This window comes from Homo sapiens, chromosome 10 (assembly GCF_000001405.40).
Source record: "Homo sapiens chromosome 10, GRCh38.p14 Primary Assembly".
Taxonomy (NCBI): Eukaryota; Metazoa; Chordata; class Mammalia; order Primates; family Hominidae; genus Homo; species Homo sapiens.
Window position 1 is genome coordinate 110,633,147 of NC_000010.11, and position 12,562 is coordinate 110,645,708.

A 12,562-nucleotide genomic window follows, 5' to 3' on the forward strand; every position below is an offset into this window, starting at 1 on the left:
TTCCAAGAAAGCTGACAGCATTTCCTATCACTTGATAGATGGACCAAGGCAGTATCTCTATGTTTCCTTTTGGATGATGGATGGTATAAGATGCAGTGAGCCGAGGTCACATCACTGCACTCCAGCCTGGGTGACAGAGTGAAACTCCCCCTCAAAATAAATAAATAAAATAAAATAAAATAAAAGTAATAATTTATTCATTTGACTTCCAAATATGAGGCTCAAAAGTCAATCCACTGGAATACAAGAAGAAAATATTAGAGCTTTTGGTTTTCTTTTATCCATGTCATCAAAAATTTTTCAAAGTTTTGCTAATATTTCACATATAGATTGATCCTGATCCTCACCCAGTTTACATCAGACACTTATAAGAAGACACTCACATCGTACCAGCTATTCAGAGGGGAAAGTAGAATTTTGAAAGGGGAAAGAGGTTGATAAGGCCACTGCAAAAGATTTACCTTTTACTTTGGAGGGGATGACAGACCCTAGACCACTGGGTCCTTACAAATCCACTAATGTGCAAGCTCCTGAATCTTCATGAGGTTTAAGTTCTCACCCTCTGGAGTACAGACTTCCAATATAATTCTTGCTCATCCGGTATTAATACGGTGTTATAAAAATAGAGGACAATTGGCTGGGCACAGTGGCTCAGGCCTGTAATCCCAGCACTTTGGGAGGCCGAGACAGGTGGATCACCTGAGGTCGGGAGTTCGAGACCAGCCTGGCCAACATGGCAAAACTCCATCTCTACTAAAAATACAAAATTTAGCCTCCTGGGTTCAAGTGATTCTCCTACCTCAGCCTCCTTAGTAGCTGTGATTACAGGCACCCACCATGCCTGGCTAATTTTTGTATTTTTAGTAAAGACGGGGTTTCACCATGTTGGCCAGGCTGGTCTCGAACTCCTGACCTCGTGATCTGCCCGCCTCGGCCTCCCAAAGTGCTGGGATTACAGGCATGAGCCACCGTGCCGGGCCTTTTCCTTGTCTTTTTAACTTTCCACACAATGCCAATGTAAGAATTCATTTTAATACAATAAATGTATATATAAGGATGTAAACATATATAATAAATGTACATATTAGGAAAGTCAGCATCTTAATAGATAAACACATGAGATCAGAAAAAAGGCAAAGAAGCCTATATATCCACTACTATTATTTAACACAATCGAGATATTAATCAATACAACTAGACAAGAGAAAACTATTAGAGGAATACAAATTGACAGGGAAAAAAGTAAAACTCTATTTGTAGATAACATGATAGAATATCTGGAAAACTCAAAAGTTGTAATGATAAAACTAAAACAAGCAAAATAATTCTGTGCGTATGCATGCATTATTTTATGTATAGATTAAATAATATAGAAATATAAATAGGCAAATATACATTTATATTTATATAAACAATAACCAGTTAGAGAAGATAATAAAAGAGAAAGCCTTACTTATTATACAAACTAAAGAGCATAAAATATTTAGGAACAAACTAAGAAGAAAAGTGTGAATTGTGTGGGAACTCCAACATAATACCTTAGGGAGTTGTTGATCCCATATCGTGGCACTAAGCATGGAATAAATGAGTTAGATAGTCACGAATAAGAAAACATGGTATGTAATAGACAAACTTGGCTCTCAACATAACCACCCATAGAACGACTTTAGAATTCCGAGGGTCTTACAAGCCCAGGTACTATGAGGATGGTGCTTAGTTCCAGGGGAGGTGCTGTGGGTGCCAACTTCCGGCTTGGCTCGTTGCCCGTCTGGCTCCACGTCTCTTGTCCCTCTGGGCTGTGAGTCTGGCAGCTGGTGTCAGTGTGATGATTTGCTTGGCTCTGTCCTCCCTCCTAGTATTACTTTTTCTGTAACAAAGCTTTTGCTTTGATCTGCTGCAGTGTCAAGTGTTTTATTTGATACCACTAAAACCACCAAAACTTCTCTGAGGAAAACTTTAAGATACTCCCTAAAGGCATAAAAGTAGACTTGAACAAAGCAAAAGACATCCCTTGTTCTGTGATGGGACTAACTCATCATCGTAAAGGTCTAATTCTCCTCAAGATAATATATAATTTTAACAAGATCTAATAAAAATACCACGTATTTATTTATTTAGAGACTGAGTCTCGCTCTGTCGCCCGGGCTGGAGTGCAGTGGTGCGATCTTGGCTCACTGCAACCTCTGCCTTCCAGGTTCAAATGATTCTTGTGCCTCTGCCTCCTGAGTAGCTGGAATTACAGGCATGTGCCACCACATCTGGCTATTTTTTTTTAATACCACATTTTTTTTCTAGAAAATTGATTGCAGAGCTCATACGGAAAAATAAAAATGCAAGAAGAGTTATGAAAACCCCCAAAAAGAAGAGCTGTGAGAAGAAAGAGTTCTTGTCAAATAACAAATATTATTATAAAGGATCTTTAATCAAAACTAATAAGTAAACAGGAAGACTACTAGGAAAAAAATAGAAAGTCCAGAATTAGACATAAGTACATATGGAAATTTAGCGTATGATAAAGATGGTATCTTATATCTTGCAGGAAAAGCCAGCCCTTTCAATAAGTGGTGTTGGGACAACTGGATGGCCATTTGGAGAAGATAAAATTGGATCCATGCCTCACACTGTGCACCAGAATGAACTCCAAATGAATCAGACATCTAAGTGTAAAAAAATTAAACCATACAGATGCTACAAAAAACATGAGAATTTAAAAAATAATCTCAGTGTTTAGAAGCTTTTTCTAATTCCGATTCAAAATGCAGGTGCAACAGAAGAAACAATTGATAAATTTTACTATATAAAAATAACATTGGCATGGCAAAAACAATAAGAAAAGACAAACAAGTAAAACAATAAGAAAAGACAAATAATACACCATCTTTATCAAAGGTCTAATCTCCCTAATTTATAAAGAGCTCTAAAAATCGAGGGGAAAAAGACATTAAGAAAACAATATAAAGATGGGCAAAAGGGACAGTTTAAAGATATACAATGGGCCAGGCATGGTGGCTCACACCTGTAATCCCAGCATTTTGGGAGGCTGAGGTAGGTGGACTGGTTAGGACCAGGGTCCTTACCAGTCCACTAATGTGCAAGCCCCTGAATCTTTGTGAGGTTTACGTTCTCACCCTTTGGAGTACAGACTTCCAATATAATTCTTGCTCATCCAGTATTAACATGGTGTTACAAAAATAGAGGACTATTGGCCAGACTGGGTGGCTCAGGCCTGTAATCCCAGCACTTTGGGAGGCCGAGGCAGGTATCTTTCCCCCTGGGATTTATAAGTGCAGAAGGTGACTGACCTCCTGACCCAGAGTAAGCTCTTTTAAGGGACTGTGTATTATCATTACTGAACGTTCCTAATGGAAACGTTCTTTTCCCCCTGGGATTTATATGTGCCGAAGGTGGCTGACCTCCTGACCCAGAGCAAGCTCTTTTAAGGGACTGTGTGTTATGATTACTGAATGTTCCCAATGGGCAGTCCAGTAATCACAATAAAAACAGCCAATGACAATTTACTGAGCCCCAGTCATATGCCAGATGACACTGGCTTAAGTGCTTTACATATAATCCTCACGGTAACCTCATGATGTGGACACTATTATTCCCATTTCTCAGATGGGAACACTGAGGCTCAGGGAGGTAGAGTAAGTTGCATAACATCATGTGACTAGCAGACCTTGGGGCTGGATTTCTAAAGGAGTCATTCTGACTCCAGAGTCTGGGCTGAGAGGAAGCGGGGCAGGGTCTTCTGTATGGGGTGGCCCTGGGATGACCAAAGGGGCCACACCAGGAGTGGCATTAGTCTACTCCCAGCCAGCTGCATGGGTGCCCACTCAGTGAGGTCAGCACATTGCAGGCTCTCACTGTTCCTGGCGTCACTCTGGCATGCAGAGGCCTCCGGTGTTGCCTTCCATAATGGTCACCTGATCCTGGAGCTGGTGGGCAAACAGCCTGAGATGTTTATTCTCTGATGCCCAACTGGCTTGACAGGCGGGGTGATAAGAGAGACAGAGAAGGCAACTGGGGGACAGGGTGGATAAAGGAGTCCCCTGCCTCTGAGAAGTGCTGTTTTCCTTGGCTGGGGCCTACAGTCACACCACTGGCCTCTGAATGACAGTGACATTCCCCAGGGATTAAGCACGACTTGTGGAAGCTGGGTCTCCACAGGGGGTGCAGAGCCCCACGGAACTTCAGTCATGCAATTAGCTACCTCTAACATTTCTCCCACATTCATTTCGTACCTCCATCACTTCCCATCCCCCCTCCAAAAAAATTCAGCTGCAACTTGCTTTATAACACACAGTAAGATTGTTGTATTATGTGTCCTGGAAACAGCAAATGAGAGAAAGTCATTCTCTGGCTCTTTGGAAGCATAGCTCAAAACTCCTCTTTTCCAGGAAGCCATGCCCAGGTTAACCCTCCCCCTTGCTGCTCTGGGCCCCTGTGATTCTGGACGCAATCTGCAGTTGTTGATTTGTCGCCAGGTACCGAACAAGCGGTGGCAGAACAGAGCTCTAGCCACCCGGGGCTCGGAGCAGTGATGCTTTTAGGAGAGGCAAAGATGCTGATGTCATTTGTGGTTGGGATAACTGCTTTCCTGTTCAAGGACATTGGATGTATACCTAAAGCTCTAGAACCACGGTTTCCTGACTTCCAACCAACTGCACTTTGACTACAATACAACACCTGCAGGGCTTATTAGAGGACAAGAGGCCTGGCTGATAAATTCCTGACCAGAGGGATGGAGGCTAAGCCTTTCCCTGCAGCCAATGCCGGAAGTTCCCAGTGAGTCGGTCGGGCAGAAAAGAGCCTCCTGGGTCATGTCCTCACTTTTCCTCAGCTAAAGTTCCCTGACTGTCTCCTTCAAATTCAGATGTGCATCCAGTTCCATGAGTAACCACATTATTTTTAAACAGCATCCTTCAGCCACTGTCTCTCCTGGGTTTTCAGGGAGTGGTGACCCTTTGTGAAGCCAGGACAGGATTTTATTTTCTGATTGTTTTCAAACATCTGCAGAGATTCCATGGACTTCAAAGTCAAACAAAAATCATACTCTGGTCGAGGCACCAGCCAATAGGTCAAGCTGAGGTAAATATTTCTACCTCGGGGGGTAGAAAAGAGAAGCCGGGGAGTGTGGAGAGATGGGAAACCAAGGGATGGGATATTGGAGACAGCAAAGAGGTTCAAACGCTGGAGATTTACCAGAGGAGTGTCCAGTCTCAAAGCCCCATTATATCAAGAAACAACATACAAAGTAGTTTAAAGCTCAATGCTAGGAGTAATGGAAACTAGGGTTAGATCCGCAGCTCCTCTGCTTACTAGCTGGCCAGGTGGCTGGACTTCATGAGCCTTTGTTTCCTTATCTGTAAAATGGGTATAAAAAAACCAACCACCTACTAAGGTGACTGTGAGGACTAAATGACAAATATGTGCTCAAGACAGCCTGGCAGATTAATACTCAAGAAACAGAACCGTTGGCTGGGTGTGGTGGCTCCCCTGTATTCCCAGCACCTTGGGAGACTGGGGTGAGATTACTTGAGGCCAGGAGTTTGAGACCAGCCTGGGCAACATGGCAAAACCCTGTCTCTAGAAAACATAAAAATTAGCTGGGCAGGCGTAGTGGTACATGTCTGGAGTCCCAGCTACTCCTTGGGAGGCTGAGGCAGGAGGATCGCTTAAGCCCAGGAGTTCAAGATTGCAGTGAGCCATGATCGTGCCACTGCATTCCACCCTGGATGACAGCCTGGGTAACAGAGTGAGACTCTGTCTCTAAAGCAAGAAATGGCAACTGTTATTATTAACACCCAGATAACAGTTAATATCTTATGGCTAAGATGATCTATGATAGACTGCTTCATATGTATTCATAATTGTCAGATTAGTAGCTTATAACTGTGTCAATGTGACTGGTAGCAACTTAATGATTTACTTATTTAACTGTCTCTACTGGAGTTGCTAGGATAAAAGGACAGTGTTTAAGACTGGACAATATATTATCCAGTGTATTTCTCCTTCATTCCTTCACATGAATTTTTGCTTTAAAAATAAAAATTTTGGCCGGATGCGGTGGCTCATGCCTGTAATTCCAGCACTGTGGGAGTCTGAGGCAGGGAGATCACTTGAGGTCAGAAGTTTGAGACCAGCCTGGCCAACATGGTGAAACCCCGCCTCTATTAAAAATACAAAAATTAGCTGGGCGTGGTGGCAGTTGCCTGTAATTGGGAGGCTGAGGCAGGAGAATTGCTTAAACCCAGGAGGTGGAGGTTGCAGTGAGCCAAGATCGCGCCACTGCACTCCAGCCTGGACGACAGAGTGAGACTCCATCCCAAAAAATAAATACATAAACAAAAATCTTATTGATGTACTAAGTGTTGTTAATGATTACTAGTTGAAAAAACAAAATTTTAAGTTTTGTTGTCACTGGTTAATTTAACAATGACATGTGTTCATAGCAAAAACTCTAATAGTATATGTACTTCAATAAAAGTTTATTTCAAGTATTCAAACAATATAAAAGGTCATACAAGGCCTTGTATCCTAATTTCCAGAGGTACTTACTGTTAAAAATTACTTGTATAACTTTTCCAGAAATGTTCTCTTCTCTTTGATTTTATAGACATTTAGTCATACTGCAATACTGTTGAGAAACTTGCACCTTCTCCTTAATAATACACCTTGGGTCTCTTTCCCTAGCAGTGCATACAGACCTACCTCCTTCTTTTTCAGGGTTACATTGTACTCTTTTGTAGTAGAGACCATCTTTTGTAAGGCCACCCTTCTGTGCAGCACTTTGGTTGTTTCTAGTTTTTGCTATTATGAACAATGCCACAATAAACTCCCTTGTCCATGTAGCTTTGATTATTGCTACAAATAAACCGAGAGTATAAATTCCTAGGAGGATAATTGCTGAGTCAGTTTCCCTTGTTGCAATTTTAGTAGTTCCAATTTGGGCCAGGAACCATGGCTCATGCCTGTAATCCCAGCACTTTGGGAGGCTGAGGTGGGCGAATCACCTGAGGTCGGGAGTTCAACACCAGCCTGACCAACATGGAGAAACCCCGTCTCTACTAAAAGTACAAAATTAGCCGGGTGTGGTGGCGCATGCCTGTAATCCCAGCTACTTGGGAGGCTGAGGCAGGAGAATCACTTGAGCCCAGGAGGTGGAGGTTGCGGTGAGCCGAGATAGCGCCATTGCACTCCAGCCTGGGCAACAAGAGCGAAACTCTGTCTCAAAAAAAAAAAAAAAAAAGTTACAATTCACTTCCAAAGAGTTGCTGCAACTGACACCTATAGTATATGAGAATGTCTGTGTCATCAAACTTTACAAAGTAAACTGTTGTTAAAAAATAACAGTGATAGTATACATATGCTGAACAGCCACACATACAAATCAGCTCATCTGCAGAGATGAATGCTCACAATCAACTGAGAGGTAAGCTATTATATTTCCCCTTTGAAGAGGGGACAGAAGGTCACAGTGATTCAGAGCAGGGTCTGAATCTCAGCTCTGCTATTTATTATTCCAGTGACTTTGGGCAGGTTCTTCGAGTTTCTCCAAAATGGTGATATTAAATGAAATAAGGTTTGAGAAAACTCCTAGAGCCAGTGCCTGGATTATTTATTAACATCATGGGACAAGCCAGAGTGCCAGAGTCCCCAGTAAGTTTGAGAATGACCCTAGTATAATAGAGACTTGGGTTGTATTTCCACCCTTTTCTACCACCTCCCACCAGGTTGCATCATTTCTTTGAATTTTCTTATTTGTAAGGGTCAGTTTAGATATTTCCTATTAATTGACCGATGTGAAAAGATATGAGTAGCAGAGTTGCATCACAATGCAGGTGGCATTTTATATTCACAGCAGCATCACAGCAAAAGAAGACAGGTAAGATCTCAGTTCCACTTCTGTCACTGAGATAGTGTAGAGAGTGGGTGAGCTTTGGGGACAGACCAACCTACCTGCAGTCTTGCTTCTTTCTGGCTCTTAAGAGCTGGGTGACCTTGAGCAAATTCTTGTAGCTATCTGAGCTTCAGTTTTCTTAATTATGAAACATAGTTAACAGTTGCTACTCATGGGGTTATTGTGAATATAAAGTAAGATAAACTATGAAAATACTTAGCAGCTTGTTAAATATTCAACGTATGCACAAACAGCAATAACCTCACCACGTGACTGTAGTTCACTTGTAGGTCAAGGAGGGACAGGATGCTTCTGTGGAGAGGAACAAAGAGAGATGTTACCAGTCCTCACCTCTCAGTCACACTCCCATTTGTCAAGTCAGGTGACTCACACAGCATTTGTCTGGCTTCTCTCACTGTGAAGCGCACGCTTGGGGGAGGGGAGTGATGAGAGCCCAGGGGCAGATCAAAGCAAGGGCTGCAGCCTCAGCTATGGCTCTTTATGCTTTTTCATTCCTCCGGGAGAGAAGTGAGAAACATTTAGAAATATTTATCATTGCAACTTTTGAATATACTTTATGTTTGACTTGCAAAATGGAATGCTTGTTCAATGTCATCCTGGAAAACATTTTGTGGGATCTGAAGAAGGTCATGAACTACCTCTAGGTTTTTGCTGTCGTCTTGCCCTCTCCCTTCAAATCTGTTCTAAGTTCAGTTATTATGTAACATGTCGGTTGCAAATATTAAGCTATAATCATGGAGATGGCATTTCTGAAAAACAACTGTGAATCGTTCATTTTTTCCCATTTTTTTAATTTTGAAAATTTCAAATTTACAGAAAGGATGCAAAAAAAGCCCAATGAATATCTAGATTTATCCATTGTTTCTTATTTTATCACATATGCTAGGATATTATTTTTGAGATTCAGACAGCTTCATTCATATAACATGGTCCTCTTTTTTTTTTGCCAATAAAAATGTAATGGGAATAGACTCACTTATATCGATGTTGTGACTTCCAGGCTCTCAGCTTTCTGGGGTTTGAGATCTATTGTATTAATATTTGGCTATATGGTTGGAATATAAAGAGTCATGTTTGTAGTAAGTGCCAGATTGAACATCTTATGCACAAAGTATACAAGAGACATTATCTCTAACCCTAACAGAGACTCTCCAAGCCAGGGTCTCATCAATTCCGATTTACATATTTGGTAACTGACACTCAGAGAGGTTGAATTACTCCACTGGTAAATTACAGAGTCTGGACTCAAAAACAGGTCCTTTTGATCACAAAGCTCTTTCCATCCAGGTTTTGGAGGATTCTGAGAAAAAGACTTCCGTACAAACATAGAAAAACTTTTATTTCTGGGAGAGTTGCAATGTTAATTTTAAGTAATTTCCTTTCACTAAGGAAGTCTGGGGGTGGGAATATGGGGTGGAAGATGGAGATTTAAGGAAACCACGGTTAGGAATTTAGTGATAGAAACTGAAGATGATAACGATTCAGAGAATGGACTTGGTTCTTACAGCCTCTTACTAGCCGTGGATCCTCCCGACAGATCACCCTAATGCCTCCACATTTGTGAAATGGGAAAAACAATCAACACCTCTTTACCAGGTGTTTTTTTTTTTTCTTGTCAGCTGCATTAAGGAGAAGGGGGAAAGAGTAGAACAAGGAGTTCTATGTGTAACGAACGGAACAATCTATTGAGCTAACTACCTACCTTCGGACCAGCCTACCTGTTTCATGTTTTTGTTTTGTTTGTTTTGTTTTTGTTTGTTTTGGTGAGGCTCAATTTTGCGAACTGTGGCAAACTGATCTTTATGAATACGAGGAATTGATAGTGTCATTTTATATTAGAGGAGGGAGAGAGGAAGATAAAAAAGGGAGAGGGAAGGAAGGAGAGAGAAAGAGAGAATGATGGCAGAAATCAACGGAGGCGGAGGCGTAGTTTCCTGAGGCTAGAAACTCAGTCTGGGGAGACATGAAAGCGTCTTTTGGGGAATTCAAGTAGTTGCTAGGTCTCAGGGAATCCATCTTCAGAATTTTCCTCCGCGTGGTTGCGGGAGGAAAATGAGTTGAGTGGAGACCCTGAGCAAACTCCTCTCCAGGCCATGCGGCATCCTGGGCTCTGGTTTCCCAGGCACGCAAGGCACGCTTTTCTCTACTTCCCGGGGACGCTGGCCTCAGGACTTAGAACTCCTGTATGCCGGACAGCCGGTAAGGTCTACTGGGCGGCCGCTTTCTCTGGTCTTTCTCTGCTCCGTAGACATTTCTGTGTCAGGTGCCTCGCATATTCGCACCCACGCGCCAGGGCATTAAGCCGAACCTTGCTTGGTGGCTCTCAGCCTTGAAAGGCCGCAGGATGTCCGCGTCCACAGCTGTGAACCGGTGAGTGCAGGTGGACGGGCGCACGCGGGCGCCAGGGTAATTAACAGGGCTTCAGAGGGCGTGACGGTGACCGTACGTTGTCGGCGAACTCTCTTTTCATCCTTTACATTTCCACGGAGATTTGGCCAATAAATAACAAGAATAAAATGTACGCATGGTTTTGTCTTTGCGCTCGTGGGGTCGTGGCGGGGTCTTTTAAGTGAAGAGAAAAAGAAACCAGAAACCCACGGTGGCCCCACCGGCTGCTTCCGGGGACACCTGAAATCAGCAGCTGGAACTGACAATTTGGAGAGCCCCGGGGATGGTCATCTGAGACCTGGGTTACAATACAAGTCTGACCTCGGGGCGAGTCCAGGCTTTCTTCCCCTCAGGGTCGGGTGCCTCAAGAGCCAGTGGCGCTGGCCGGGCTCCAGCCGCGAGCAGATGCCAGGCCCGGCACACTTTGCACGGGCGATGCGCGCGGACGTCCCGGGCGCGCTCGGTCCGCCCGGCTTGGCAGGAGCTGCGAGAGGCCGCGCGCACCGTCCCCAGGGACAGCCGGAGGACTCAGGGCTCCCGGGTGGAGCGAGAGCGCGGCGGCCGACCGCGGGCTGCGTGTGTCGCCTTCCTCACGCGGTATGCTGCGCCGTGGAACGCTGGGCTACGGACCCTGAGGGTGCACTGTGGCGGGTGGCGTACGCCGCGCTCCCTCCCCGCTTCCTGCGCCCAGGGTCGGCGGGCAGAGTTCCTGGGTCCAGCTTGGCGCTGAGCAGCCCCCGGCCGCAGAGCAGCTCCCGCCGGTCGGGAGACGCCCCCTGGCCCCCGCCCCCGCGTGGCCGGCCGGGACGAGCTGGAGCAGCGGGAGGAGGCGGCGCCGCCAGGACTGCCTCCTCCCCGCCCCTCGCGTCTCCTCCCCGCGCCACCGGGAAGGACAAGGGGACTGGGCACGGGGACCCCGGCCAGTGAGCGCCCGTGGCCCGGGACCGCCCCTCCCTTGAGCTCTCTCGCCGCGATCCCGGGCGGGTCTCGCCCCGCATGGTGCTGGCAGCAGCCATGAGCCAGGACGCGGACCCCAGCGGTCCGGAGCAGCCGGACAGAGTTGCCTGCAGTGTGCCTGGTGCCCGGGCGTCCCCGGCACCCTCCGGCCCGCGAGGGATGCAGCAGCCGCCGCCGCCGCCCCAGCCACCGCCCCCGCCCCAAGCCGGCCTACCCCAGATCATCCAAAAGTAAGAAGGGAGAAGGGAACAGGGACCACGGGTGCGCCTGGGGACACGCCCCGAGAGCCCCCTTTGTGGCTTCATTTCCCGTCCCTGCTGAACTTCGCTCGCCCCCCTTGGGTTTGAAGTTTTCTCGTACCCCCTCTGGGCAGAGTCGGTGTCCTTCTGGCTGTTTGTTAGGCTGGAAAGAGGGGAGCCAAGTTCTTTAGGGAAAATTATTTTGTTTTTCCTTATCTCCTTTCTCTTCTCTTCAGGAATGGTACTAGATATTTTGAACTAAAATAGCTCAGATTGGGGGGAAATGGCCCAGCGACTGTATTTCATCTTTCTGGTCCCAAGAGGACGCTGGAATGGAGAGTCGTGCGTGAGTGTGTGCGCGCGCGTGAGGGTGTGTAAGTAAAATGCCAAAAATTAAACCACCCTTCATGGTGCCCCTGAAACCAACCAGTGGAAAGGGAGGTGACAGTTTGTAAACAACATGTTTTACTTTGCCCTGAAAGTGTAGACACTTTTCAAGAAGGCCTTTTCGAAGAGTTTAGCTACGCAACCGTTTTCCATTAATGTTACCATCTTGTGACTCGGGTGACCTGTGCGACTTGGGTCGTGAATTCTCAGGTCGGCCTTCCCAATGCTTGAGAAGGTTGGGGGTGGTTAATAAGCCCCGAGAGGCTCTTTCAGCCCGTTTGAGGAACATACAAGTAAAAACAGTGATGCTTTGTATTGTTTGTTCTTTTGAGATTTCGTGTGACCGTTTAAGGCCTAGAATGTTGGTTTATTTGAAGGATCTCTGCTCTCCTAAGGGTTTACCCAGTTTGTAATGAAGTCTTCAAAACTAGTTTAATAAGTGTAGGAAAGTGAATGATGCGCACCTCTGCGAAACTGACAACACTAAATAAATACACGCAAGTACAGCAAAATTTACCCTTATGGAACACAGCAGAGGTTTTCTGCTGCTCCGCTGATGCTTTGAGTCCTGTAAATTTAATAAAACTTAGTAACAGAAAGAACCAGTGATGGGTGTAAATGGAAGTAAATAGCAGTTAAGTATTTATTGTTTTGAAGACTGATTTAT

At 45.1% G+C, this 12,562-nt stretch overlaps 1 protein-coding gene across 2 annotated transcripts in view, besides 4 other annotated features; it reads left to right on the forward strand.

Annotated features, from left to right (window-relative positions):
- Positions 3,967-4,518: an enhancer, noted in NCBI's record as "H3K27ac-H3K4me1 hESC enhancer chr10:112396871-112397422 (GRCh37/hg19 assembly coordinates)". NCBI's record gives its function as "activates a minimal SCP1, AML or CMV promoter by ChIP-STARR-seq in naive H9 embryonic stem cells {active_cell/tissue: H9 hESC(naive)}" and the evidence as "EXISTENCE:reporter gene assay evidence [ECO:0000049][PMID:30033119]".
- Positions 7,999-8,536: an enhancer, noted in NCBI's record as "OCT4-NANOG-H3K27ac hESC enhancer chr10:112400903-112401440 (GRCh37/hg19 assembly coordinates)". NCBI's record gives its function as "activates a minimal SCP1, AML or CMV promoter by ChIP-STARR-seq in naive H9 embryonic stem cells {active_cell/tissue: H9 hESC(naive)}" and the evidence as "EXISTENCE:reporter gene assay evidence [ECO:0000049][PMID:30033119]".
- Positions 10,099-12,562, forward strand: part of RBM20 (RNA binding motif protein 20) — a 196,224-nt gene continuing 193,760 nt past the window's right edge. The window contains exon 1 of one of the 2 annotated variants that reach the window (XM_017016103.3): positions 10,099-10,294. In XM_017016103.3, the coding sequence (XP_016871592.1) occupies positions 10,269-10,294 (26 nt within the window). In that variant the 5' untranslated portion in view covers positions 10,099-10,268. Of the gene's footprint in view, positions 10,295-11,189; positions 11,500-12,562 lie in introns of those variants that run through there. The other variant, NM_001134363.3, reaches the window with a different exon arrangement.
- Positions 10,153-10,697: an enhancer, noted in NCBI's record as "H3K27ac-H3K4me1 hESC enhancer chr10:112403057-112403601 (GRCh37/hg19 assembly coordinates)". NCBI's record gives its function as "activates a minimal SCP1, AML or CMV promoter by ChIP-STARR-seq in naive H9 embryonic stem cells {active_cell/tissue: H9 hESC(naive)}" and the evidence as "EXISTENCE:reporter gene assay evidence [ECO:0000049][PMID:30033119]".
- Positions 10,895-10,984: a silencer, noted in NCBI's record as "silent region_2821". NCBI's record gives its function as "represses an Ori minimal core promoter by ATAC-STARR-seq in GM12878 lymphoblastoid cells {active_cell/tissue: GM12878}" and the evidence as "EXISTENCE:reporter gene assay evidence [ECO:0000049][PMID:35858748]".